The 26,718-nt window shown below is 50.8% G+C and overlaps 1 protein-coding gene across 7 annotated transcripts, besides 1 other annotated feature; it reads left to right on the top strand.

Moving 5' to 3' along the window:
* Nucleotides 4,774–5,275: an enhancer, noted in NCBI's record as "NANOG hESC enhancer chr1:54485757-54486258 (GRCh37/hg19 assembly coordinates)". NCBI's record gives its function as "activates a minimal SCP1, AML or CMV promoter by ChIP-STARR-seq in primed H9 embryonic stem cells {active_cell/tissue: H9 hESC(primed)}" and the evidence as "EXISTENCE:reporter gene assay evidence [ECO:0000049][PMID:30033119]".
* On the top strand, nucleotides 7,173–18,061 carry LDLRAD1 (low density lipoprotein receptor class A domain containing 1). 7 transcript variants are annotated; one of them, XM_011541446.2, is made up of 6 exons: nucleotides 7,173–7,267; nucleotides 7,932–7,983; nucleotides 10,998–11,123; nucleotides 13,079–13,216; nucleotides 14,949–15,077; nucleotides 16,229–18,061. In XM_011541446.2, exons 1-6 carry the CDS (start codon nucleotides 7,247–7,249, stop codon nucleotides 16,375–16,377), a joined length of 615 nt encoding a protein of 204 aa, XP_011539748.1. In that variant the 5' UTR covers nucleotides 7,173–7,246; the 3' UTR covers nucleotides 16,378–18,061. The 7 variants fall into 7 exon arrangements, with proteins under 7 accessions (XP_011539748.1, NP_001010978.2, XP_016856753.1 ...); NM_001010978.4 differs by having other exon boundaries at nucleotides 10,995–11,123; XM_017001264.2 differs by lacking the exon at nucleotides 10,998–11,123 and having other exon boundaries at nucleotides 13,110–13,216; nucleotides 17,390–18,061.
* The last annotated feature ends 8,657 nt before the right edge of the window (nucleotides 18,062–26,718 follow it).

Raw genomic sequence — 26,718 nt, 5'->3', positions numbered from 1 at the left:
GGAGAAAAAGGAATACTTATGCACTATTGGTGGGAGTGTAAATTAGTTCAACTATTGTTGGAGACAATGTGGAAGACAACCATTGTGGAAGAGAGTGTCTTCCTTGAAGACCTAAAATGCTAAAGTCAGAGACACCATTCAACCCAGCAATCCCATTACTGGGTATATACCCAAAGGAATATAAATCGTTCTATTATAAAGACACATGCACACATATGTTCACTGCAGCACTATTGAGAATAGCAAAGACATGGAATCAATCCAAATGCCCATCAGTGATAGACTGGAAAAAGAAAATGTGGTACATATACACCATGGAATACTATGCAGCCATAAAAAGAACAAGATCATGCCCTTTGCAGGGACATGGATGGAGCTGGAGGCCATTATCCTTAGCAAACTAACAGAGACAGAAAACCAAACACCACATGTTCTCACTTATAAGTGAGAGCTAAATGATGAACACATGGACACATAGAGGGGAGCAACACACACTGGGGCCAATTGTAGGTGGAGGGTGGGAGGAGGGAGAGGATCAAAAAAAATAACTAATACCTGGGTGATGAAATAATCGGTACAACAAACCCCCATGACACATGTTTACCTATGTAACAAACGTGCATATCCTGCACATGTATCCCTGCACTTAAAAGTAAAAAAAAAAAAAATCCATCTTGGAAAACAGGATGGGGTTTAACATGTATATTGTACAGTTGAGTAAACAGAGAGGGGAGGCAGCCAGCCAGGATCCCAGAGTTGTGGGAGGGATAGGGAAGGAGTGATCTATGCTGAAGCAGAGACTGGGCCTCACCAATAGGCAGGTCTAGAAGCAGATCTCGCAGGTCCCTAGGTCAATCTCCATAATTGGAAACAGACCAAGGCATCCAGAAACAATATTCCACCCTTAAAGGGTGCAGAGCACTCTTCTCATATGTGTACTCACTTCATTCCAGCCACCACTCTGAATTAAATATTCTTATCCCCATTTTTCAAATGAGGAAACTGATACTGAGAGAGTCTGCAGCTTGCCACCTTAAATTAGATAGGTCTCAATTTGGCAGAGTCAGGATGAAAACCCAGGTCTGTCTGACTCAAGCTGGGGTTTGCTGACCTCGTGTCCAGTGACTCTCCCTTAGCCACAGCCAGGCTAAGATGGAGACCCAGAGCATAAAGAATATAGGTATAGGCAAAGGCAAAGAAGGCTTCTGGCAAGAACGATGGATTTAGAAAGGTAGAAGGAGCCAGCAGAAGTCATCCTAAGAAGTGACAAGCCACAGACTGGGAGAGATATTTACAACCCATATAACAAATGATTCAAATCCATCATAAAGAAATTCATAAATCAATAAAGAAAAGACAAACCACCCATAGAAAAATGGGCAACAGATATGAAAAGGCAATTCACGAGGGAGGAAATCCACTTGTATATTTTAAAAGGAGCTGCATAACGACATAGGGTAGGGCGGTGCTTTTCCAAAGTAATGTGCTTTCGAATCTCCTGGGCATTTTGTCAATATGGAGATTCTGGTGTGGTAGGTCTGGGGAGCCCTGGGAATCTGCATCTCTAACCAGCTCCCAGGTGATGTGGGTGCTGCTGATCCGCTGGCCACACTTTTGAGTGGTGAGGATAAGAGTGAATTCAGCCAGCCAGGTCTGAATTCTGGCTCTGCCACTTTGTGGGTGTGAACCGTGGGCAAGTAACTTCATGTCTCTGTGCCTCAGTTTTCTCATGTGTAAAATGGAAATAATAGTCCCCATCTCCTATGGAGGACGAGATGAGTGAATATACATAAAGCATGTAGTATAGTATGTGACAAAAGTAAAGAACTCTATAAATGTTAGCAATTGGTAGTAGCAGTAGGACTAACTAGAGGAGTGAAAGTTAAACCACATACAATTCCACACCTACCAGACTGGCAGGTGTCAGGAAGTCTGGCAATTTCAAGAGCTGGTGAGACTGGGGAGACAGGAGCTCTCACATACTACTGATGGGAGTGCAAGGTCACTCCCTTTGCAGAGCAGTTTCACAAGATCTGGAGAAATTGAAGATGCTTCTACACTGATTCTAGGTGTATGTGTGTGTATGTGTGTGTGTGTGTAAAGAGCAGGAGAGATATGTACACTAGATGTGTGTGTGTGTGTGTAAAGAACAATAGAGATATGTACACTAAAATGATATTGATTTTTAAATTTTATCAATGTTTTTAAAAAGCCATAAAGGCAGCACTACGTATTTTTCATGCATATATACCCATATGTTAAAAATATACAAACCAGTTACCAAAGAATACATGCCATACTCAGGAAACTGATCAACTCTGGAAAGGGAGGAGAAGAAATACAACTGGGGAAAAAAACAGAGGCCCTCAATTGTGCTGTACTTAACAGAAAAAAATGTGAAGCAAAACTGATTACATGTTAACACTTGTTAACTCGGATTCGTGATTATTTGTTACATTATTCTTCCTACCTTTCCGTATTTCTTTTTTTTTTTTTTTTGAGACGGAGTCTTGCTCTGTCGCCCAGGCTGGAGTGCAGTGGCGCGATTTCAGTTCCCGAGTTCATGCCATTCTCCTGCCACAGCCTCTCGAGTAGCTGGGACTACAGGTGCCCGCCACCATGCCTGGCTAATTTTTTGTATTTTTTTAGTCCAGACGGGGTTTCAATGTGTTAGCCAGGATGGTCTCGATCTCCTGACCTTGTGATCCGCCCACCTCGGCCTTCCAAAGTGCTGGGATTACAGGCGTGAGCCACCGTGCCCAGCCCAGCCTCAATCTGAGCTCAGCTCAGAGAGGTTAAGTGACCCAGCCAAGATCACTCAGCTAGTGGTGAGACCATTTGGACTATCAGCTCCAAAACTTGTGCTCTTGCTAGAAGTTTACCCAGCCCTGGCCCAGGAGTCCTAGTCAAGGCCAAGGGCCCAGCAGGGTGGAGGTGGAGGTTGTTTACTACAGCCCAAGCCATTAGTGTTCATGATATAACTATCCCAACAACTGCCTTCCGCTAGGACAAGAACAGGCAGTGAAAGCCCCTGCCATCAGTTCTAACTAACCAGAAAGAGAGCAGACAGTAGAGAAGGAGGGGACAACGTGGGCCAAGCATCTGAACAGTGCCCTTCAGGAGCAACTGCTGGGACACGTGAGGTTGGCAGCCTGGGGCCTGTACCCTAGGCAAGAGAGACAGTGAGGCTGAAAATAATTGAGGCTGGGCTGGGCACGGTGGCTCACACCTGTAATCCCAGCACTTTGGGAGGCCGAGGTGGGCAAATCACGAGGTCAGGAGATCGAGACCATCCTGGCTAACACAGTGAAACCCTGTCTCTACTAAAAATACAAAAAATTAGCCGGGCGTGGTGGCAGGCACCTGTAGTCCCAGCTACTTGGGAAGCTGAGGCAGGAGAATGGCGTGAACCCAGGAGGCAGAGATGGCAGTGAGCGGAGATCGCGCCACTGCACTCCAGCCTGGGCAACAGAGTAAGACTCTGTCTCAAAAAAAAAAAAAATTGAGGCTGCACGTGCCAATGTCCCTGAGGCCATCTGCTGCTGTGGAAGGAGTGCTCGCTGTACTGGGACACTGACCACGGTATGGCCTTGCACAAGTCCCCTCTTCTTTCCGGACTTTAGATCCCCCTTCTGTAAAGTGAGGCCGTTGTTCTCTCTGAGCCTGAGGTCCCTTTGACTCTGCTGATCAAAGTTCTGAGTTTCCCTGAGGGACTCTGGCAGCCCTGTTTTCCACTCTTTCCAATTTCCTCCTCTAACCCTCATAATATGGGCACCGCCTTAAGCTGCTGCTAGAACTCTCCATCCACCACTCACCATTCTCCCTGCTTTATTTATTTATTTATTTATTTTGAGACAGAGTCTCACTCTGTCACCCAGGCTGGAGCGCAGTGGCACGATCTCGGCTTACTGCAACCTCTGCCTTCCGTTCGTTCAAGCGATTCTCCCATTTCAGCCTCCCAAGTAGCTGGGATTACAGGCGTGGGCCACCGTGCCTGGCTAATTTTTATATTTTTAGTAGAGACAGGGTTTCACCATGTTGGCCAGGCTGGTCTCGAACTCCTGATATCAACCGATCCACCCACTTTGGCCTCCCAAAGTCCTGGGATTACAGGTGCAAGCCACAGTGCCCAGCATCTCCCTGCTTTAGAATGAGACACATCTGAGGTTAAGCAAAAGAGGACTGCAAATCCTAAAGGCGGCGAGCCACTGATGGTATTTCACAGTTGTCAGGCTGGAGGAAATCAAAAAGTCTGATGGTACTAAGTGTTGACAGAGATGTGATCAACAGAAATTCTCATCCACAAGGGAGGGAGTGTGAATCAACTCTGCTTGGAGGCAAAACTGACCTGGGTTAAAATCTCTGCTCTGCTGTTTACCCACTGTGTGGCTTTGGCAAGTTACTTAACCTCTCTGAACCCAGTTTCTGCATCTGTCTAGTGGGTGTAATAATATTACCTATCTTTCAGAGTTGTTGTGAGGATCAAGGGAGAGGGCGTGTGTAAGGTGGCTGGTGTAGTGCCTGGAGCATAGTAGCTGCTCAATAAATAATATCTGCCTCCCTTCCATCCATGCCCTCCCCTTGAGAGTGAGACTGTGAATTGCAGGGGATATGATTCCAGGAAGTTCAAGGATTGAGGCACCAGGGCCTGTCCTTCATGTCACCAGGCCCCCTGCTGCCCTTCCCTCAAGGGTTCTTGGTGACAGCCTGAGCCCTGGAGAGACGCAGTGCTTTCAGCATAGTTGTATGTGGCTGTACCTGGACTCAGCAGATGAAAGGGCATTTCAAAGCCCCGGGGAGTCTTTTTATAAAGGAACACTTAAGAATCACGGAGTCAAGGAAGGCCAGAGGCTGAAGGGCATTAATATGTCCAGGAATGGCAAATGGTCATTGTCAGGCCTCTGAGCCCAAGCTAAGCCATCATATCCCCTGTGACCTGCACGTATACATCCAGATGACCGGTTCCTGCCTTAACTGATGACACTGTCTTGTGAAATTCCTTCTCCTGGCTCATCCTGGCTCAAAAGCTCCCCTACTGAGCACCTTGTGACCCCCACTCTGCCCGCCAGAGAACAACCCCCCTTTGACTGTAATTTTCCTTTATCTACCCAAATCCTATAAAACGGCCCCACCCTTATCTCCCTTCGCTGACTCTTTTCGGACTCAGCCCACCTGCACCCAGGTGAAATAAACAGCTTTATTGCTCACATAAATCCTGTTTGGTGGTCTCTTCACACGGATGCGAGTGAAAGCCATCATGTCTGATACCCCTCTCCACTCTTACACCCATGGCAGGCATCACTAGTCAATCACAGTTCTGACCTCAGAATCCTTCTGAGGCCCATGTTCCAGAGAGCCTTTTGCAATCAATTGCAGCTGACATGCCAGATAAAATCTAGTTAGTGTCTTTAGTAGGGACCATGGGTGCCCTGCCCATGCTATCAGCGCTTTCCATTTCAGGACATATTAGCTTAGCGTGCAGCTGCTAAGTTGCCATCACTGACATCTCCTTGCCTAAGGCAGCCCAGTGGTACAAGGAATTAACACCCTCTGGCTAGTCTCTTTTTTTTTGAGACGAAGTTTCGCTCTTATTGCCCAGGCTGGAGTGCAATGGCGCAATCTTGGCTCACTGCAACTTCTGCCTCCCAGGTTCAAGCAATTCTCCTGCCTCAGCCTCCTGAGTAGCTGGGATGACAGGCGCCTGCCACCATGCCCGGCTAATTTTTTGTATTTTTAGTAAAGACGGGGTTTCACTATGTTGGCCAGGCTGGTCTTGAACTCCTGATCTCAGGTGATCCACCTGCCTCGGCCTCCCAAAGTGCTGGGATTACAGGCATGAGCCACCATGCCTGGCCTCCTCTGGCCATTCTCAACCAAGACTGGCAGGAGCTGGCAGATTATTACCCCAGTTCCCCTCACCTTGAGTGGGATAACTCTGAGGGGCATCTTCTCCCCTAGCTTCCCCGAGTGCCCCAGCAGGGCTAAATTCCACTTGCCCACAGCGGAAACCTGCTTCATAACACGACTGTTATCGGATCCTTCTCTTCCATGTCTCATTTCCCTCACCCCCCGACCAGCATTTCCTGGGATCACTCCCAATTAACTCTACTTGCCCTCAAATCTTGTCTTAGAGTCTGATTCTGGGGAACCTTAAACTAAAACACCCCCTTCATCTAGCTTATATCTTTATTTTCTGGATGAAGGAACTGAGGCGCAGGGAAGGGGAGTGAGTCACCCGTCAGAGCCAGTGGTAGGGCCCTAATGAGAGTCCTGTTCTCCCGGCCTAGGGCTCAGCTCTTCACAATGTTACTTGCTGCCTCCCAAGGGCTGCCCCTGTGTCTGTGCCTCCTACTTGCACCCACGTGGATTCATCATTTTATTTCCCAATGCAAAAGAAAAGGCTGATTGCAGGTTGGAAAATCTATGGGCATCAGAGGCAGGTGCAAGAACTCCTGAGCTCATTTCTGGAGGTAGACACCTCTCCTCCCTTGGTCCGGGTCCTTGGACCTGTCCCTCAAGATTCCAGGGCCTTGGTTTACTCAGCAGTGGGACAGGCTGCTAGGGAAACCCACTCACTGGGGACATAGAAGGGGTTGTTCACGCAAGCAACCAGCCCCCCGCCTCTTCCCTACCTCAGCACCACCTCAGGGGCAGTAAAAATTCACATTGCCACGTTTCTAAATGAAACAATTTAAAATTATATTTGCTTTATAATTTTAGTGGAAAATGCATATTCTTTCAATCTAGGTCACCTATGTAGTTGAACAGAAGAACATCAATGAGAAAATGACCCCTACTTTCTAGCCACCGAAACGTCAATTCTGGGAGTTTCTGCCTGCATCTTCATACCCCTGGAACCTGAGCTCCTCCGGTTCCATCTCTGATGTGGAGGAAAATGCACTTTCTGAAAAGTTTCTGGGTTTCACTCCTCCCATGCACTGTGAGACTTGGGGCAGTTTCTCCCTCTCTGAACCTCTGGCTCTTCATCTGTGGAATAGGGATGAGGATTCCAGCCTCGCAATGTTGCTGTCAGATGGCAGATGAGGGAATAGCCTGGCCGGAGAGGGGCCCTCCTGCCTTTGCCTCTGCTTGGAAGGCAGCTGACAGGGGCCTGCCCACAGGGAGGGTGTGGCCCGGGCAAGGCCTCCTGCTTGTCCCTCCTCCAGGTTGGCCTTGGTGACAATGCAGGGAACCCGTGCTGAGCTCTCTGCACACAGCCCCAGTCGGGCAGCAGGAAACCGAAGACATGAACAAGGTCTTCCCCCAGGTGAGAGCTGTCCCCAGGTGAGAGTTGTCTCCAAGTAAGAGCTGTCCCCAAGTGAGAGCTGTCCCCAGGTGAGAGCTGTCCCCAGGTAAGAGTTGTCTCCAAGTAAGAGCTGTCCCCAGGTAAGAGCCGCCCTGACCAGGCTCCTGATCTTGGGAGAGCAAACCTTGGGATGAGGAGTGGGCAGTAGAGAGTGGGCATACATGGGAGACACGGAGGAAAATCAGCCCCCGTCCTGCCCCGGGGCTCACTCCCAGGGTGTAGGGGACCCTACCAATGACCCAGCAATACAGTCCAGGTGGCAAGTGCTGGTATGGAAACAGAGGAGCCAGGTGGACAGGAGGGAAGAGCGGCCAGTTTTACTGGGGAGGAGGGTATCAGGGAAAGCCTCACCCAGGAGTCGCTGCCCAAGCCGGTTTGAAGGATGAATATTTATCAGGTGGACAGCAGAGAAAAAGGCTTTCCAGGCAGAGGGCACAGTGCAGGCAAAGGTGTGGACATATGAAGCGGGCATGATGCATCTGGGGCGTGAGATGCTGGGGTGTGACGGACCCGTGGTTCTACCTAAGACTCTCTCAGTGACCCCTCTGAAAACCCTGTTGTCTGCCTCCCTGAGGCTGGAGCTCACCTCACCTAAGCCCACCCCTCACTCTGTTCTCTTGGGCAGGGAGAGAATGGCTACACTGCTGCTGAATCCAAAGCCCACCCTGGAGGGGAAGGTAAAGAACTGGAGGGCCTGGGGCCAGTGCCCTGTGGGGCTCCCTTGAAGCTGGCAGTTGGCGATAGAGACATGAGGAGGGTTCAAGGCTCCCACTGTCCCTCAGACCTCTGCCTCCATGTTAACGTTGTCTGCTCCCAGCTTCCTGGCCAGCCATGCTGACAGTCACTTGCTTAATAGGGTTATTCATTCTCTCCATGCACATGCATTCATTAAGCACCTACTGTGTGCTGCCTACCTCACAGGCACCAAACTGCATACAGTGCCCACCTGTAACACAGAGAAAAGAGCACCAGCGTCAAATTCTTGACTCAGTGGGTGACCTGGGCAATTCTCTTTAACTCTGATGGATAAAGTGACACATTTATTTAGCCCTACTATGTGCCACTGGCCCATGGTGTGACCAGGACAGTCCTCTTTACCCTTCTGAAAATAGAAGAAGGAAGAAACACACATGTACTGAGCTTTGCATATGCCCTGGCTTGGCCCACATTTGATCAATGACGAAACACACTCAGAGAGGTAGATTAAAATACCAGCTATAAAGAATCCATCCCCAGTTAGGTGCCTGGCACTGCATGATCTCTTTAATCCTCAGGACAGCTCTGAGACAGGGGCCCTGTTATGGGGCAATAACAGATGAGACAGCTGAAACTAAGAGAGGTTGAGTAACCAGGCCAAGGTCACACAGCAGGGAGGTTGGAGGGCCAGGGTTCAAATGTGAACTGAGGTCTCTCTGGTTACAAAGCCCCAGGGCTTTTGTTGCTCCGAGCTGGTGTTTGTTTATTTCTAAGTCCTGACTCATGATGGGCGGGGTTGTGGAAAGAATCACCTCCTTTTCCTCATCGGTACAGGGAGAGGACTGGCACCTAAGGGCTTTCTGGCTTTGAAGTGCAACAGCTTCACCTGGGCAGGAGCCTTGGTTCTGCGGGTTCTCCCATGGCCCCACCTTGTGCATGGTCTGTGCTGCACAAATATTTGAGGAGCTGCTTGGCTGATCAGGACACCTCTCCCTGCCCAGAGTCACGCTGCCTCCCTGGTTACCTGAGTTTACCCTGTTTGCTGATGGCCAAGGAGCCACCAACTAGGGCTGTAGGGATGACAGGTTTTAGATTTATGCTGCCTCTCCTGCTATTGTCTCCCCTCCCAATACACATCCATCTTGGAGTCCCACCACCCCAGGCCATTTGTGCTCCCCCACCTGCAACCACTGGGCCTTTACTCCTGCCACGCCCTCTGCCTGGAATGCCCTCTCTTTGCACCCTCCCCTTACCTGCCTGTGGAAATCCCATTCTGCTTCTGAGGACACTGCATCAGAAATGTGAATGGATTGGAAATAACCTGGACTGACCCATACTGGGGGCCTTCTCTTGCCTCCTGGACCCCCAGGTCGGCATATTCACAGAGTGTTCACAAAGCCCCAGGCCGGTGTGGTGGCTCACACCTGTAATCCCAGCACTTCGGGAGGCCAAGGTGGGCGGATCACCTGAGGTCAGGAGTTCAAGACCAGCCTGGCCAACATGGTGAAACCCGTCTCTACTAAAAATACAAAAATTAGCCAGGCATGGTGGCGGGCGCCTGTCATCCCAGCTACTCGGGAGGCTGAGGCAGGAGAATCGCTTGAACCCAGAAGGCAGAGGTTGCAGTGAGTTGAGATCATGCAACTGCACTTCAGCCTGGGCAATAGAGCAAGACTCCGCCTCAAAAAAAAAACAAAAAAAACAAAAAAAACAAAAGCCCCCACCACGTGCCTGGCTCTGGGCTGGGCCCTGGGGTCACAGGGATGAATCACACCTGCTCCTGCCCCTTTCTCTGAGGTACCTGTGGCCTGGGCACGTCAGTAGCTCCCACACCCCTTCAGGCATGTCCATGCCTTGCCTTCTAAGTGCAATAACAAGCTGCAGAGGGCAAGGACCAGGGCAAGCTGCACAGCAGGGCACCCAGGAGGTCCTCAGTAAAGCCTTCTTTTATTATTTTGTAAGCAGGGGAGAATTAAAGGAGAATTAAAGTACAGTTCTACAAGAGCAGGGACGTCCCCTATCACTGCTATCTCCATAGTGCTTAGAATAAGGCTCGGCACATGGTAAGTCCTCAATAAGCAATAACAGGCCAGACACAGTGGTGCACGCCTGTTGTCCCAGCATTTTGGGAGGTTGAGGCAGGAGGACTGCTTGAGCCTAGGACTTATAGGGTGCAGTGAACTAGATTGCACCATTGCACTGCAGCCTGGGCAACAGAGCCAGACCCTATCTCTAAAATATAAAAAATAATAATTAAAAAAAGCAATAATAATAGCTCATACTCAACACTTACTCTGTGCACATTAACTCAACAAATTCTAATCCTCTCAACAAAGTCTAAGGTAGCTATTATGGTACCCATTTTCCACATGAGGAAACTGAGGCACAGGGAAGTGAAGTGGCTTACTCAGTGTGGCCCAGGTAGGATGCGGTAGAGCTGGGATTCCAACCTGCATCCCAGCAGACTCCAGAATGGACAGTCAATTGGGATCGTGGAAAGGGCACGGGTTTTGGCATCAAACAGGTGTGGATTCACACGCCAGCTCCACCCAGGGTGACATGAATCTTTTCTTCCTGAGCCCTAGTTTCCTCATTGATAAAATAAAAGGTTGTTTTGAAAAATAAAGCACGCTTATGAAGGGCCTAATGGAGCTTCTGCCCCAAGGTGGGGGCTGGACATGCAGGCGTCCATCTCTCCCTGCGTCCTGAGGAAGTCTCCTGATGGCGGGTGGGAGGGGAGGGCTGTCCGCCTCTGCCATTCAGCCAGCTGTGGGCCCCTGGCCAGGGTGGCACCTAGTGGGGTGGGCCCACAGGCAGAACAAAGAGCATCAAGGAGGGCTTGGGAGCTGCTCCTCCAGGGAAGCCATCCCTGCTCTGCTCACCCTCGTGGGGGAGAGGCTGCTTGCAGCGGGCAGGGCGGAGAGGGAGCTCCCTGTTCCTAGCGCTGGCCCCCTATCACCACCACCCCCGGGCTTGTTTCCCCCCCACACAGCAGGCGGCGGCCACCTCTGCTGCTCACGTCGCGGGGCCTGCCTCTCTGCCTCTCTGCTGCTCCTCCTGGCAACTGTGGCGGCCCTCATCGCCTTGGTCACCATTCTTGGACTCCCATCATGCACCCCAGGTCAGGGCGGCCAAGAGAGGGTGGGTCAGACCCGGCGGGGAGGGCATGGGAGGGCACAGAGAGATGAGGGAGCCCCGACCTGCCTGGCTTCTCCACCAGGTGACTTTGGACTAATTCCTTAAGGTGCATGCACAGACACACACAGACACCTGCACACACACTGACTATACCTGTTTCTGAGCCTCCATTTGCACATCTGTGACATGATTATTGAGAGGACCCAGCTCTGATGTCACCTCCTCCAGGATGCCTTCCTAGACCCCCAGGATGGGTTACGAGCCTCTTCTCAGCCCCCCAGTCCCTACACTTCCTCTTCCCCTGGCCTGGCCACCCCGGGGTGGTGCTATCCAACTGTGTGCCCATCTCCACCACAGGGGACCGGGTGACATCCCATACATGCCTGCAGCCCCAGCTTCAGGGGTGAACAACCCCAACACAGTGCCTGCCTTCAAGGAGCTAATAACTGTTCCGAGAGCCGTCTAGACGTGAATACACATTACAGCGGGGTCCCTGGGAGCCCTGAGAGTCTAGCCCCATTGAGGAGTCAGGGTAGGAACAATGGGTATTAGTAGTGGGGGGATGCCAGGAAAAGCATCCCAGGCACAGGGAACAGCATGTGTGGAGCCCTGAGGGGTGGGAGGAAGCAGGAAGAGAAGAAGAGACTGCAAGAGGCCAGTGCACAGGAAGGGCTGGAGTGACAAGTGGGGCCCAGTGCCAAGGGCCTCACAGGCTGCACCGAGAAGGGAGGTCATAGTCCAGGAGCCACAGAAAGGGGATTAAGTTGGGGGCAAGTTGGGGGCAGGCTGATGTTTCTGAAGGATGGCTCTGCAGCCAGGCAGGGTGGGTATAGAGGGCTGAGGTGGGGGCGGGGGCTGAGATTCGCAGCGCTCCCCCTGCCCTGCAGGAACACAGACCCTGAGGTGGATGAATACATGAGCAGCTGCAGTCAAGAGCCTGTGTGCACATCTGTGTGTTTAGCGTGTCTATGAGTGTACGCAGCTGTGTATGCATGTTCATGTCTGTGTGTCAGTGCGTGTGTGCACATCTGTTGTCTGTGTATCTGTGAGTGTGCACATAGGTGCAGCAGTGTGTGTGTGAGCATGTGTTCATGTGTGTGTGCATCTGTGTGTGTCTGTGTCAACATGAGTGTCTCTGAGAGTTGCTCCCCCCCGCCGCCTCCCCCACACACACTAGCTGAGGCAGCCCAGGGACTGAGAGGTGGTTCACGCATGCACAAACACAAATGCACAAACTGGCTCCCATCCCCAATTATGCACACGTATACACATGTGGGGCCAAGGGGTTCCTCCTACCTTGTCCGTAGGTTTCTGCCTTTTAATTCTTTGGGGCAGCCCTAGGAGTGGGTATTCCTTTTCTCCTCCCATATGGGGGGCTAATGATGACGTGTCGCAGGGGTGTTTGGGGAACTATAGAATAAAGATATGAAAGTGCTTTGCAGTTGTGCCCAGATAGAAGGAATTATGACATATGGCCCTCCAGCCAGCCCAAATATATTGCTTCTGACACTCTAACCTGGTACCAGGAGCTCCACCATTAAAACCACTTCACTGAATTGAACATTGTCCTCAGAAGCTTCCCATGACACTGTAAATAAGTTTTCAATACAAGAGAGAACCATTACTAGTTCTGCACATTTTCTGTTCTATGTTTCTTCACAGAGATGCTTTCATTTAATCCCCACAACAGTCCCACGGGGTGTGTGCTATGATTCCCATGTTGCAAACAACCTGAGACTCAGGGTGGTCAGGTCATCTGCCCAAGATCAGGCAGCCGGCAGCGGGTACAGCTGGGGCTTGAACCCCATTGATGGCGCTGGGTCCATCCTCCCCACTGCCCCAGCCCCTCAGGCCAGCTCTAGGCGGAGTTCAGGTGAGGAAGGTTTGTCCTTGTGAGCACCACCCTTGACCCTCCAGGGCCTTTCCCTGCCCATTCAGGAGCCCAAGCTTGTATAACACTGACAAACAGGACAGGCTTCTTGTGCCATGACCAGAGGAGCTGCATTCCAGCCAGTGGGGTCTGTGATGGCGTTCGCACCTGTACCCACGGCGAGGACGAGGATGAGAGCTTGTGCCGTGAGTACCCGCTCGGTGCTGCCCCTCCCAGGGGTTCCCCCACACTCCGATGCTCTTGGCATCCATACTGAACACATCAGGCACCTTCAAGTCCCCATGGCTTTGATGCTCCAGTGCCTTCATCCAGGAACACCTGCCCCGACCTGGTCCCAGTCAGGGACACACATACATGCCCCCACTAAGGAATGCCTTCACCCTGTGCGTCTCCACTCCCAGAGAACCCGTATTCATCCCTCAAGGCAGAGTTCAAATGTTACCTCCTCCAGGAAGCCTTCCCTGACTCCCACACTAGGTTAAAGTGTCTCCTTTGGGCTTCCACAGTCCCTGTGATTCCCTGTGTCCCAGCCCTTGTCACACTGGTTGTCGCTCTTGATTGGCACATCTGCCACCCCCATCAGACTGTGAACTCCTCTGAGGCAGGCCCAGTCCGCTTGATATCGGGGCCCCAGTGCCTAGCACAGAGGGGTATTCAGAACGGCTTGCTGAATGAATGAGCGAATGAATGAATGGGAAGACCTGGCCCCAGACCTTAGACACACCTGAAGGTTCTCAGGAGAGAGGAGCCTGACCCCACAGGAGAGAGAGAGCCTGGAGAGGTGCAGTGGGTGGGGTGGGGGAGCTCATGGAGGGAGAGTCATTGCATCACAGACCCTCAGGACAAGAAGCAATCTCAAAAGCATCTAGTCCTTGCCCCAGCTCATCCCCAATCCCCTCTCTAGCAAGCCCAACCGAGGCCACCCAGCCTCTGCTTGCATCCCAGGGGATGCAAGGATTGGAAGGTTTTTCCATGGGAAGGTTTTCCTTGTCCCAGGCTTAGAGCTGCCTCCCAGAGTGGTTCCTCCCTGATTGGTTCCAACTCTGTCCTTCTGTCAACCCTGCCCCGATAGACCACACTTTAATTTCTGCCATGATGGTGGTGCTGCATGGATTTGAAGATTGCTCCCTTGCCCTCCATGAGGTTTCTCTTCTCTACGCCACATCCCCTTCTCCAGGTCACAGTCAGCCCCCTTGTGACCCAGTTCCTGGCCCTCCCCACTCCATCAATGCTCCACAGAATGAATATCAACTTCCCATGTCCCCGTCCCTGGACAGGCCTCAGAAACATCCTCAGCCCTTCTAGCTGGGTCTGGGCAGTCTAACGAACAGAATCTTGCTCCCTCCCTGCCCAAGGTTTTCTACCTCTAGTGATGTGGCCTGAGTTTGTGTGAATTTTTGATAGCCCTATCACACTGCTGCCTAACAGAACACACTTTCAAGAAAGGTGCTCTGACTCTGCCTTACAAGGTGTGTGAACCCTAGATCTTCCCCTGAGATCCGGGGCCCAACTGTAAGACTCCACATTTATTCCTGTGATGTTCCAGTTGGAAGAGGCTTCCTGGAGGTGATGGAACTTGAACCTGAACTTGAAAGAATGGTTTTGGATAGGTGTCAAGGAGGCTCTTTGTGGAGGGGGGCATAGTGTCAGCAGTGGTGTGGGGCAGGAACACACCAGAGCTGGGGAGGAACTGAGGAAGGGAGGGGCAGATCTCTGGGCCTCTGTCCAGCAACGGAGCTCTCCTCTCCCTCTGACTCCACCACCTCCCCAGGAAACCTTCTGCTTGCACCCTTCTGGGCTGGATGGGCACTGATCCTGAGTTTGGCCACTGCCAGGGTGGTCAATCCTCCTCCCGATAACCCTCAGACAGCTGTGGCCAGATGTGGACTTCTTCCTGCCTCCTCTGTACCTCTACAGGAGATGTGCCCCAGAGCCTCCCCCACTTCCTTGTGGCCCACTGTGGAGACCCGGCCTCCTGGATCTACTCAGACCAAAAATGTGATGGCACTAACAACTGCGGGGACTGTTCAGATGAACTGAGCCCAGGTAGGGGTCTGGGCACAGGCTGGGCTGGGGCTGGTGTCCAGGCAGCAGCCAGAGGGCAAAGGGTGAGCAGGGAATCTCTAGGGCTCCCCCTTGCATGCTTCCCTGCATCCTAGGAAGGAGTTTTCTACCCCTGCTTGAATACATCCTGTGATGGGGTACTCACTACCACTCCAAGTGACTTTTTCTGGAGGCTCATTCTTCTGCAGTGGGGAAGTCACCTTCAAAGGCACAGATGAGAAAACTGGGTCCCAGAAGGTGGTCATGCAAGGAGTACATACATGGCCCAGCTGGGATTTGAACCTGGGGTTCCCTTATCTCTGCACCTCCCAGTGACCCTGTGAGGAAAGCAGGGCAGGAATCACTGGCCCCAATTTGTATGTAAGTAAATGGAGGCTTTGAGAGGAGAAACTTAGTACAATGTGTGACAGGAAGGGAGCTCAGGTGTGAACCCAGGCCTCCTGATCCAAGTCCCGAGTCCTGTAGCTGCCCTAGAGTTTCCTCTCAATCTCTTCCCCAGTGGTCAATCAACAAACATGTTCTGAGCATTGGTGGGGTGCTCAGAACGCACCTGGTATCAGATTCAGGTGGGGGACATCAGGAATCAGGCATGTGTCCTACCCCCAGGACTCACATCATGCTGATGCCGAAAGGAGGTGCTGGGGACCTGGAGGAATCAAGGGAGATTTCTCAGAAGAGGTAGCATTCAAGAAGACCAAGAATAGACGGGTTTCAGTAGGTAGAGGCTGGGTGTGTGGGGAGGAATGCCGGAGGCCTGAGCAGAGGAGAGAAGGCTAGGAGCACCCTCAGGCAGTCATGGCAGGTGAGCATAGCTGGACTCAGGGTAAGGAAGGGCACCCATTCATATTGCAGTCTTTACCGTGTGCCTGGGACTTTGCCTGACATCCTTTGCTTGATAACAAGCTTGAGCACACTAGGAAACAGTTTCAGACAGGGTGAGGGAGGTCACATAGCCTGTGAGCTGTGGAGTCTAGATTCTCTCTGCCGCAGGAAAACTAGGAACACACTCAACTCACGTCAGATGGGTTGGGGCCATGGGGAGCTACGGCAGGTTTCAGAACTAGGGAGTGCCCTGGTGCACAGAGCGTTCCAGGACACAGCAACTGCTCTCCTGCTGGCTCTTGTCTCTGCAGTAACTGTGTGCCCACCCTGCGGCCCTGGGTGGTGGCGCTGTCCTTCAACCTTCTTCAAGTACTGCGACTGTATACCGAGGCATCTCTGCCGCGACCATGTACAGCACTGCTCCGACTGGTCCGATGAGTATGCCTGTCCCGGACCCTGAGTGGGCCACTCAGGCCAGCATGGAAGGCTGGCTGGAATGGCACTGATAACCCTTCACATGAAAATCAAATCCTAGCGCACAAGGGCAGGAAGCAGCCTTTGAAATGGGATCTACACATCATTTCTGAATAGGAATTTTCTCTCCTCCTTTCAAGTTGTTCAGCCTCTGCTTGAATGCTTCCAATGACCAGGAGCTCATTACCATGTTAGGTGGCTTCTAACAAAGATGATGTGGTGGAACCCCGTCTCTACCAAAAATACAAAAATTAGCCAGGCATGGCGGTGCACACCTATAGTCCCAGCTACTAGGGAGGCTGAGGTGGGAGGACTGTGTGAACCCAGGAGGTCAAGGCTGCAGTGAGCTGTGACCACACCACTGCACTCCAGCCTGAGCAACACAGTGAGACCCTGTCTCAAAAAAAAAATGAAACAAAACACAAACACAAACAAAGACGAAGGGAATCTGCTTCCATGATTTCATGCCTGTCTCTGGGGCCACACAGAGGAAATCTGCTAACTGCTCCAAGGCATACTTGTGGATCCTAATCTCGTCATCCCTTAGAGTGATGACATGTCTGGGGCTTAAATGACAAGCCGAGTTTAGCCTTCATGGATGGCACATACGTGAAACATATGCCACTTCCTACCCCTTTGGTACCTAAGGCAGATATACTGGGCTTGGATGCAACTTTAGCATCTTCCCCAGTTTAGTTAACCCAGCAGGCTCTACTGATTTAACCAAGTGACACAGCACATGAAACAGGATATCTGGCATCCTACCAGTGGGAAGCCACCCCAGGAAGCTCTGAGCTGTAGAATAGAAGATCTGGAGAAAGAGCAGCTTGAAGGGCTCCTCACCAGTCTTCTGTCTGTCCAACCTGCTCTCCACCCCAGCACTCCCCACCCTCCACTCTATGCCCAGCTGCCCGCCTAAACAGCCCAGTTTTCTGGAAGTAGGGACTATATTTTGATCCTGGAGCCTGAATGAGCTGCTTCTGTGCTTATCTTTCCAGCTTCACACCACCCAGGCAGGCAAGGATGAATATTTCCATTAGATGGATGAGAAAACTGAGGCCCAGAGAGGGCGATGACTTGTCCAGAATCATAGAGCAAAGTCAGCGCTGGAACTGGAACCCAAATACAGCCTATGGCACCCCAGCCCAGAAGGCTTTCCAGCTACCAGTGTGATTATACCTTGGCCAGGGCAGTCTCTGCGGGGTATTTTAAAAGTGAGCTTGTCAGGTGCACTGGCTCATGCCTATGATCCCAGCACTTTGGGACACTGAGGTGGAAGTGTCCCACTTGAGCCCAGGAGTTCGAGACCAGCCTGGGCAACATAGGGAGAACCTGTCTCTACAAAAAATAGGAAAAAAGTAGCTGGGTGGGGTGGTGCATGCTTGTAGTCCCAGCCACTCAGAAAGCTAAGATGGGAGGATCGTTTGAGCCTGGGAGATTGAGGCTGCAATGAGGCATGATCATGCCACTGCACTCCAGCCTGGGCAACAAACCCTGTCTCAAAAAATTTCTTTTTAATAAAAATAAAATAAAACATGAGATTGAGGGTCAGCAAGTGTGACACCCATATTCTGAAAGAGAGACTTGGGATCTGCCTGATGGGAGGGCTCCTGTCGAGGGAGACAGACATATCCCCACTGAAAAATTAATAAAATTGGTTTTACATATCAGTTTTCTGAGTTTTGAAAACTCAAAATGGCAGCCATAAGAAGGAATGAGATCATGTCCTTTGCAGGGACATGGATGAAGCTGGAAGCCATCATCCTCAGCAAACTAACACAGGAACAGAAAACCAAACACCGCATGTTCTCACTCATAAGTGTAAGTTGAACAATGAGAACACATGGACACAGGGAGGGGAAAAACACACACTGGGGCCTGTCAGCAGTAGGGGGTGGGGGAGGGAGAGCATCAGGACAAATAGGGGCTTAAATCCTAGATGACAGGTTGATGGGTGCAGCAAACCACCATGGCACATGTATACCTATGTAACAAACCTGCACATGTATCCCGGAACTTAAAAAAAAATTTAAAAAGAAAACTGAAAATAGGCATCCGAGGGACTGGTGAGCTCTGGTTCATTTATTGCCTCATACGTTCGTTCACTCATCAGTCTCTGCAAACCTGCTTTGGACCAACCTGTGAGCCAGGAGCCAAGCCCCCAGAGAAGAGACCTGGATCCTAGCACACGAGGAGCTTAGGGTCATCTGGAGGAAGCACCTCACACCATGTAGGGAGGGCTGGGAATGCAGGAAATGCTGGGCTCAGGGGTCTGAGGAGGGGCCTTCCAGAGCCAGGACAATCACCTTTCTGACCTGGAACAACTGTGGAGTTGCTGGAACAGGATTCCTCAGGGATCTTGCCCAAGGGACTCAGTTTCTCTCCAACTGCAGTGCAAGCAGGAGCTGAGAGAGCCCTCGGGCATCCTTAGTTCTGACCCTGAACCAGAGGAGTCTTCCTTCCCAGACGAGGAGGACTTTGGGCTGGCTCTGGAGGCTAGAAGAATTTCCGAAGGTAAGAGTGGATGAAAAGGACATTCCAGGCTGAGGGGGCATGTGAACAAAGTCACAGAAGTGTGATCGTACAGCTCAGCCAGGCAATGTCCAACAGGCCAGAGAGGCCACAGTAGAGGGTGGGTGAGGAGCTAGGAGAAGAGGTGAAAGGGGTGAGCAGGGGACAGATCGTGGAGCGCTTAGCATGGCAGTGGGCTATCATCAAGGGCAATTTAGCCTGGAAACTGGATCTACCACAATCTTTATTTATGTATATATATTTTTAGAGACAGAGTCTTATTCTGTCACCCAGACTGAGTGCACTGGCATGATCATAGCTCACTGCAACCTCAAACTCCTGGGCTCAAATGATCCTCCTCCCCCAGCCTCCCAAGAAGTTGGGATTACAGGTGTGCCCCACCACGCTCAGCCTTTTTTTTTTCTTTTTTCTTTTTTTTCTTTTTTTCTTTTTCTAGAGATGAGAGTCTCACTATGTTGCCCAGGCTGGTCTTGAACTCTTGGCCTCAAGAGACGCTCCTGTCTTGGTTTCCCAAAGCTCTGGAATTACAGGCGTGAGCCAAGGTATCTCACCTAGCATGACCTTTCACTACAACAGCCCAGTAAAAAGAAGCCAAGGGCTTGGACCAAATGGGCAGAGAAAAGGGATGATCAAGGGCTATTTACTGGTAGAACTCATGGGTCTTCAGCCCTCCTATGGGTGGGGAACAGGGGACAGTAAGGTGGGGGATGAGAAAGATGGCGAGTCCAGGATGCCTGGGAAGGAGTGCGCTCTTGGCCTCCTGCCTTGGGCCATGCCTTCTCCAGCAGGATGCCAGTCTCAAGGGAAAAAGGGGGTTGAATTTGTCCTTGAGGGATAAGAAAGGTCCAGAGGTATTAGCCAGGCGTGGTGGTGGGCGCCTGTAGTCCCAGCTACTCGGGAGGCTGAGGCAGGAGAATGGCGTGAACCTAGGAGGCGGAGCTTGCAGTGAGCTGAGATCGCGCCACTGCACTCCAGCCTGGGCTACAGAGTGACTCCGTCTCAAAAAAAAAAACAAAAAAAAAGAAAGGTCCAGAGGTTTATTTCAGCACTCAAATGACATGTCCTGAGCACTGGCCACAGGAGGCCAGGCAAGATCAGAGCATGAGCCTATGTTTGCTCATACCAAGTCAGCCATGGCGGCTCAGGCGGCTGCAGAGCGTCCAGCTCCCCGCAGGGTCTGCTGCTGTGGCAGTTGGGCTTCTTTAGTGGGCAGCCTGGAGCGCCTTCTGGAAAAAAGCCCAGAGGCCCCAGCACTGTGGGCTACATATTAATTTACCCCACCCCCCACCCCCCAAACCATCCACAGGCCTCTGGGGCTTAAGATGCTTCATTAACAGAATAGGGAAACCAAATCTAAGACAGACTTGTCCACATCCACTCAGCATGTCAGTAGCTGGTCAAGGACTAAAAGCCAGGTACTTAGGTGCACACAGCTAGCATCTGCCAAGCGCTTACAATGAACCAGCACTATGGTAAGTAAGGGCTTTGCCTTTCATCCACACAACAACACTATGAGGTAGGTACTATTTTTAGAGGACCTAAAACCTCTCAGAGAGGCAAGGCAGCTTGTTGATGGTGTGTGACTGGTGGGGGACAGCGCCAGGAATGCCAACTCTGAAGTCTGGGCCCTTCCCATGTGATATGGTTTTGAGAGGTGACAGCATGCTGGCAGCCCTCGCTGCCCTCGCTTGCTCTCGGTGCCTCCTCGGCCTCCGCGCCCATTCTAGCCGTGCTTGAGGAGCCTTCAGCCTGCCGCTGCACCGTGGGAGCCCTTCTCTGGGCTGGCCGAGGCTGGAGCCGGCTCCCTCGGCTTGCGGGGAGGTGTGTAGGGAGAGGCGTGGGCAGGAACCGGGGCTGCGTGTGGCGCTTGCAGGTCAGCGCAAGTTCCGGGTGGGCGTGGGCTCGGCGGGCCGCACTCAGAGCGGCCAGCCAGCCCACAAGCCCGGGGCAGTGAGGGGCTTAGCACTTGGGCCAGTAGCTGCGGAGGATGCACTGGATTTCCCAGCAGTGCTGGCCCACTGGCGCTGTGCTCGATTTCTCGCCGGGCCTTAGCTGCCTCACCTCAGGGCAGGGCTCCGCACCTGCAGCCCGCCATGCCTGAGTCTCCCCCGCCACCTGCCGTGGGCTCCTGCGCGGCCTGAGTCTCCTGTACGAGTGCCAACCCCTGCTCCACGGCACCCAGTCCCATCAACCTGACCAAGGGCTGAGGAGTGTGCGCAGGGCGCAGGACTGGCACACAGCTCCACCCGCGGCCCGGTGCGGGATCCACTTGGTGAAGCCAGCTGGGCTCCTGAGTCTGCTGGGGACTTGGAGAATCTTTATCTCTAGCTAAGGGATTGTAAATACACCAATCAGCACTCTGTATCTAGCTCAAGGTTTGTAAACACACCAATCAGCACCCTGTGTCTAGCTCAGGGTTTGTGAATGCACCAATCCACACTCTGTATCTAGTTAATCTGGTGGGGACTTGGAGAACCTTTATGTCTAGCTAGGGGATTGTAAATACACCAATCAGCACTCTGTATCTAGCTCAAGGTTTGTAAACACACCAGTCAGCACCCTGTGTCTAGCTCAGGGTTTGTGAATGCACCAATCCACACTCTGTATCTAGCTAATCTAGTGGGGAGGTGGAGAACTTTTGTGTCTAGCTCAGGGATTGTAAACACACCAATCAGCACCCTGTCAAAACGGACCAATCAGCTCTCTGTAAAACAGACCAATCGGCTCTCTGTAAAATGGACCAATCAGCAGGATGTGGGTGGGGCCAGATAAGAGAATAAAAGCAGGCTGCTCAAGCCTGCAGTGGCAACCTGCTGGGGTTCCATTGCAGAGGTGGAAGCTTTGTTTGTTTGCTTTGTGCAATAAATCTTGGTGCTGCTCATTTTTTGGATCCAGACTTCCTTTATGAGCTGTAACACTCACTGGGAAGGTTTGCAGCTTCACTTCTGAAGCCAGCGAGACCACGAACCCATTGGGAGGAACTAACAACTCCAAACATGTAGGCTTAAGACCTGTAAGCTCACCGCGAAGGTCTGCAGCTTCACTACTAAGCCAGGGAGATGACGAATCCACCAAAAGGAAGAAACTCCAAATACATCCGAACATCAGAAGGAACAAACTGCGGACACACCACCTTTAAGAACTGTAATACTCACCGCGAGCGTCCGCGGCTTCATTCTTGAAGTCAGTGAGACCAAGAACCCACCAATACTGGACACAGTTTGGCTGTGTCCCTACCTAAATCTCACCTTGAAGTGTAATAATCTCCATGTGTCAAGGGCCAAGCCAGGTGGGGATAATTGAATCATGGGGGCGGTTTCCCACATAGTGTTCACCTGGTACTGAATATGTCCAATGAGATCTGATGGTTTTATCAAGGGCAGTTCCCCTGCACAAGCTCTCTTGCCTGGCGCCCTGTACGACATGCCTTTGCTCCTCCTCTGCCTTCCACCATGATTGTGAGGCTTCCCGAGCCATGTGGAACTGTGAGTCCATTAAACCTGTTTTTCTGTGTTAAATTACCTAGTCTCGGTATGTGTTTATTAGCAGTGTGAGAAGAGGCTAATACACCATGGTAGTTCAGTTTTATGCTGTCCCGGGAGGTCTGGGAAGGCTTCCTAGCAGAGGTGATACCTAAGCAGGACCTTGAAGGGTGATTAGGAATGAGCCAGGCAGGGGGCGTGGAAAGGGCAGTCCAGAGTGAAGAGATGCTCAGCCACCAGGCAGGAAGGCAAGGTGGGTGTAGTGTGGGGAGGGCACCTGGCAGCTGAGGGAGTTCCTGGATGTCGGGAGAGTCTTGGACCCTGGCAGCAGAGAGGGCGCTTGACTGTGAAGGCTGCAGGCTGCCAGCAGAGGTTTTCAGCAGGAGGAACACATATATTTGATTCCTCCTTCTGAGGAGGGGCTGCAAAGAAGGCTGTCCTCTGAACACCAGGAATAAGAAATAGCGCCAGACCCTCTTAAATTCTTACTGAGGGGAAAAGTGAACTCCAGAATGCAAATGTCACTTGGAAGCAGTAAAGCTTCATGCAGAAGAAAAGGGTGCCAGGTACCATGCCAGCGGCTTTAATGAATATTGATAGTCAAGGTTTAGGGAGTGTTCAGTCCATGCCAGGCGCCACTGGGAAGTTCTGTATGTTGTATCTCTGGCATCTCATTTTCTGTAATCCTTGCAACCACTCCAGGTACCTGGTTTGGTTATTCACACTCCCCAGATGCAGGGAGAGATGAAACTGCTTGCCTAAGATCACAGCTTTTAAGACGCAGACCCAGGACCCAAATCCAGAGTCCACCATACCCCTGGTCATTTCTCACTCATTTTCAGCCAGCTCTCCCTAGAAGACAGAGCTGGGGCTCTGGCCAAAGGGCCACAGCCTGTAAACAGGAGGTGGCTGGCTTGGGCAGAAGAACCAGTGTTTGTTTCTTTCTTGTTAATTGGTTATTCCTTTCAGAAAGGAGCAGGTGCCTTAGCGACCACCCAAACAGCACTCAATAAGGTGGTTCCAGAAAGACACAGGACCCAGGGCAGCCAGGCAGGCTCCTCCTTTGGCTCACATCAGCAGAGCAGCCTGGAGTGAGAACCCAGGTAGCCAGTGTCTGTATTTGCCAGCTCCCAGCCTCCCTGGCTCCAGCTCCAAGATCAGTACTTTAAGAACAACAGGTTTTTTGCTGTGCAAACATGCAGGGATAGATTAATGGAATTTGAAGTGGCTCAGGTTGGGCCCCACGGTTTGGACTGGAAATCTGGTTTGGTTTAACTGTCTGCCATCACTGTTTGCAGGGGACTCTTTTTTTCATCCTTAGGTTCACAGAACCACAGATGTTAGAGCTGGCGATGACCTCAGAATACAGCCAGGCTTTTGACAAAAGAGGACACTGCTTCCCAGAGAAGAAAGGGACCAGCCCAAAGATGCACTGCCAGGTGGCTATCACAGGGATTCTGAGGGCCACTCAAGGTCAAAGTAGAAGTGATTTCTCTTGAGACCTTAAAAGAATATATGTAAATATATGTGTGTGTATGTATACATACTATATACAGTATATATATATATTTGTACATATGTATATTGTATATATACATATATGTAGTTGTATACAATAAAATGCACAGATCTTGTGTCTAGTTCAATGAGGTTTTCAAAAACAGCTTTACTGAGGCATAGTTGAAATACAATAAGCTATGTGTATTTATTTTTTATTTTATTTTATTTTTTTAGACGGAGTCTCGCTCTGTCACCCAGGCTACAGTAGAGTGGCTCCATTTTGGCTCGCTGCAACCTCTACTTCCTGGTTTCAAGCAATTCTCCCGCCTCAGCCTCCGTAGTAGCTGGGATTACAGGCACCCCCCACCATGCCCAACTAATTTTTGTATTTTTAGTAGAGACAGGGTTTCACCATATTGGCCAGGCTAGTCTCAAACTCCTGACCTCAAAGGATCCACCCGCCTTGGCCTCCCAAAGGGCTGGGATTACAGGCATGAGCCACTGCGCCCGACCTTATTTTTGAATTAGAGACAAGGTCTCACTGTGTTACCCAGGCTGGTCTTGAACTCCTGACCTCAGGTGATCCACCCGCCTCAGCCTCCCAAAGTGCTGGGATTACAGGTGTGAGCCACCGCACCTGGCACGCTACACCTATTTGAAGTGTACATTTTCGCCGAGCGTGGTGGCTCACGCCTGTAACCCCAGCACTTCAGGAGTTCCAGGCAGGAGGATTGCTTGAGCCCAGGAGTTCAAGACAAGCCTGGGCAACATGGCGAAACCCCATCTCTACAAAAAATACAAAATATTAGCCAGGTGTGGTGGTGCGTGCCTATAGTCCCAGCTACCAGGGAGGGTGAGGTGGGAGGATTGCGTGAGCCGGGGAATTCGAGGCTGTAGTGAGCTGTGACCGCACCATTGTACTCCAGCCTGGGTAATGGAGCAAGACCCTGTCTCAAAAAAATTTTCATAAATGTTGACATACATACACACCCATGAACTGTCACAGTTAATACAAGAGAACAAACCCATCACCCTCAAAAGTTTCCTTGTGCCCCTTTGTAACTCCTCCCTCTTACCCATCCTTGATCCTCACCCCCATACTCAGGCAACCACTGATCTATTTTCTGTCAGTATAGACTCATTTGCACCTTTCTATAATGTTATATAAATGGGATCATACAGCATATACCAGTTTTTGTCTGGCACCTTTCACTGAAAATAACTATTATGAGACTCATCCATGTTGTAGCATGTCCAATACTCTTTTTATTGTTGAATAATATTCCATTGTATAAACCACTATGTGTTTATGCATTCCAGGCTGAAGAGATGCATTCTTCACTTATGCATTCACCTATTCACTCACCTTTTGATTAACTTTGGGTTATTCCCAGTTGTGGCTATTACAAATAAGACTGCTATGAACATTTATGTACAACTCTTTAAACATTTTTTAATGTTTTCTTTTCTTTCTTTTCCTTTTTTTTTTTTTTGAGATGGAGTTTCACTTTTGTTGCCCAGGCTGGAGTGCAGTGGTGCAATCTCAGCTCACTGCAAACTTTGCCTTCTGGATTCAAGCGATTCTCCTGTCTCCACCTCCCAAGCAGCTGGGATTACAGGTACCCGCCTCTGTGCCCAGCTAATTTTTGTATTTTTAGTAGAGATAAGGTTTCACCATGTTGGCCAGGCTGGCAGGCTGGTCTCGAAGTCCTGACCTGACCTCAGGTGATCCACCCACCTCAGCCTCCCAAAGTACTGGGATTATAGGTGTGAGCCACTGCACTCGGCCTTCTTTTCTTTTCTTTTCTTTTCTTTTCTTTTCTTTTTTTTTTGAGATGGAGTTTCACTCTTGTTGCCCAGGCTGGAGTGCAATGGCACAATCTTGGCTCACTGCAACCTCCGCCTCCTGAGTTCAAGCGATTCTCCTGCTTCAGCCTCCCGAGTAGCTGGGATTACAGGCATGTGCCACCACATCTGGCTAATTTTGTATTTTTACTAGACACAGGGTTTCTCCATGTTGGTCAGGCTGGTCTCGAACTCCCAGACTCAGGTGATTTGCCCACTTCGGCCTCCCAAAGTGTTGGGATTACAGGCAAGAGCCACCACGCCCGGCCCTTTTCTATATATATATATATCTATATATATTTAGAGACAGGGTCTCACTCTGTCACCCAGGCTGGAGTGCAGTGGCACAATCATAGCTCACTATAATCTCCGACTCCTGGCCTCAAGAGATCCTCCTGCCTCAGCCTCCCAAAGTGTTGGGATTACAGGCGTGAGCCACCATGCCTGGCCTGTGTACAAGTCTTTCTGTAGATATATACTTTCATTTGTCTTGAGGAAGCACCTAGGAGTGGAATCGCTGGATGAGGTAGGTGTGTTTTTAACTTTTAAAAATTATCCGTTTTCCACAGTGGTTGCATCATTTTACATTCCCATCATTAGAGTATGAGAGTTCCAGTTGTTCTACATCCTCACCAACATTTTGGAGGCCTTCTGTCGAGGGAGCCAGACATATCCACGTTGAATATTAATAAAATTGGTTGTGCATATCAGTCTTTTGTGAGTTTTGAACTGAAAATGGGCATCAAGAGACTGAGCTCTGGTTCATTTATTGCCTCATTCTTTCATTTACTCATCAAACTGTCTCTGTGAACCTACAGTCAGCCTTTTTTTAAAAAAAGAAAAAATTCATTTCATTTTTGGGACAGAGTCTCACTCTGTTGCCTAGGCTAAAGTGCCATGGCATGAACACAGCTCACTGCAGCCTCAACCTTCTGGGCTCAAGTAATCCTCCTACCTCAGCCTCCCAA

Source organism: Homo sapiens, chromosome 1, assembly GCF_000001405.40.
Source record: "Homo sapiens chromosome 1, GRCh38.p14 Primary Assembly".
NCBI lineage: Eukaryota > Metazoa > Chordata > Mammalia > Primates > Hominidae > Homo > Homo sapiens.
Note: the sequence above shows the minus strand (reverse complement) of the source record. Positions and strands in the feature narration are given on the sequence as shown.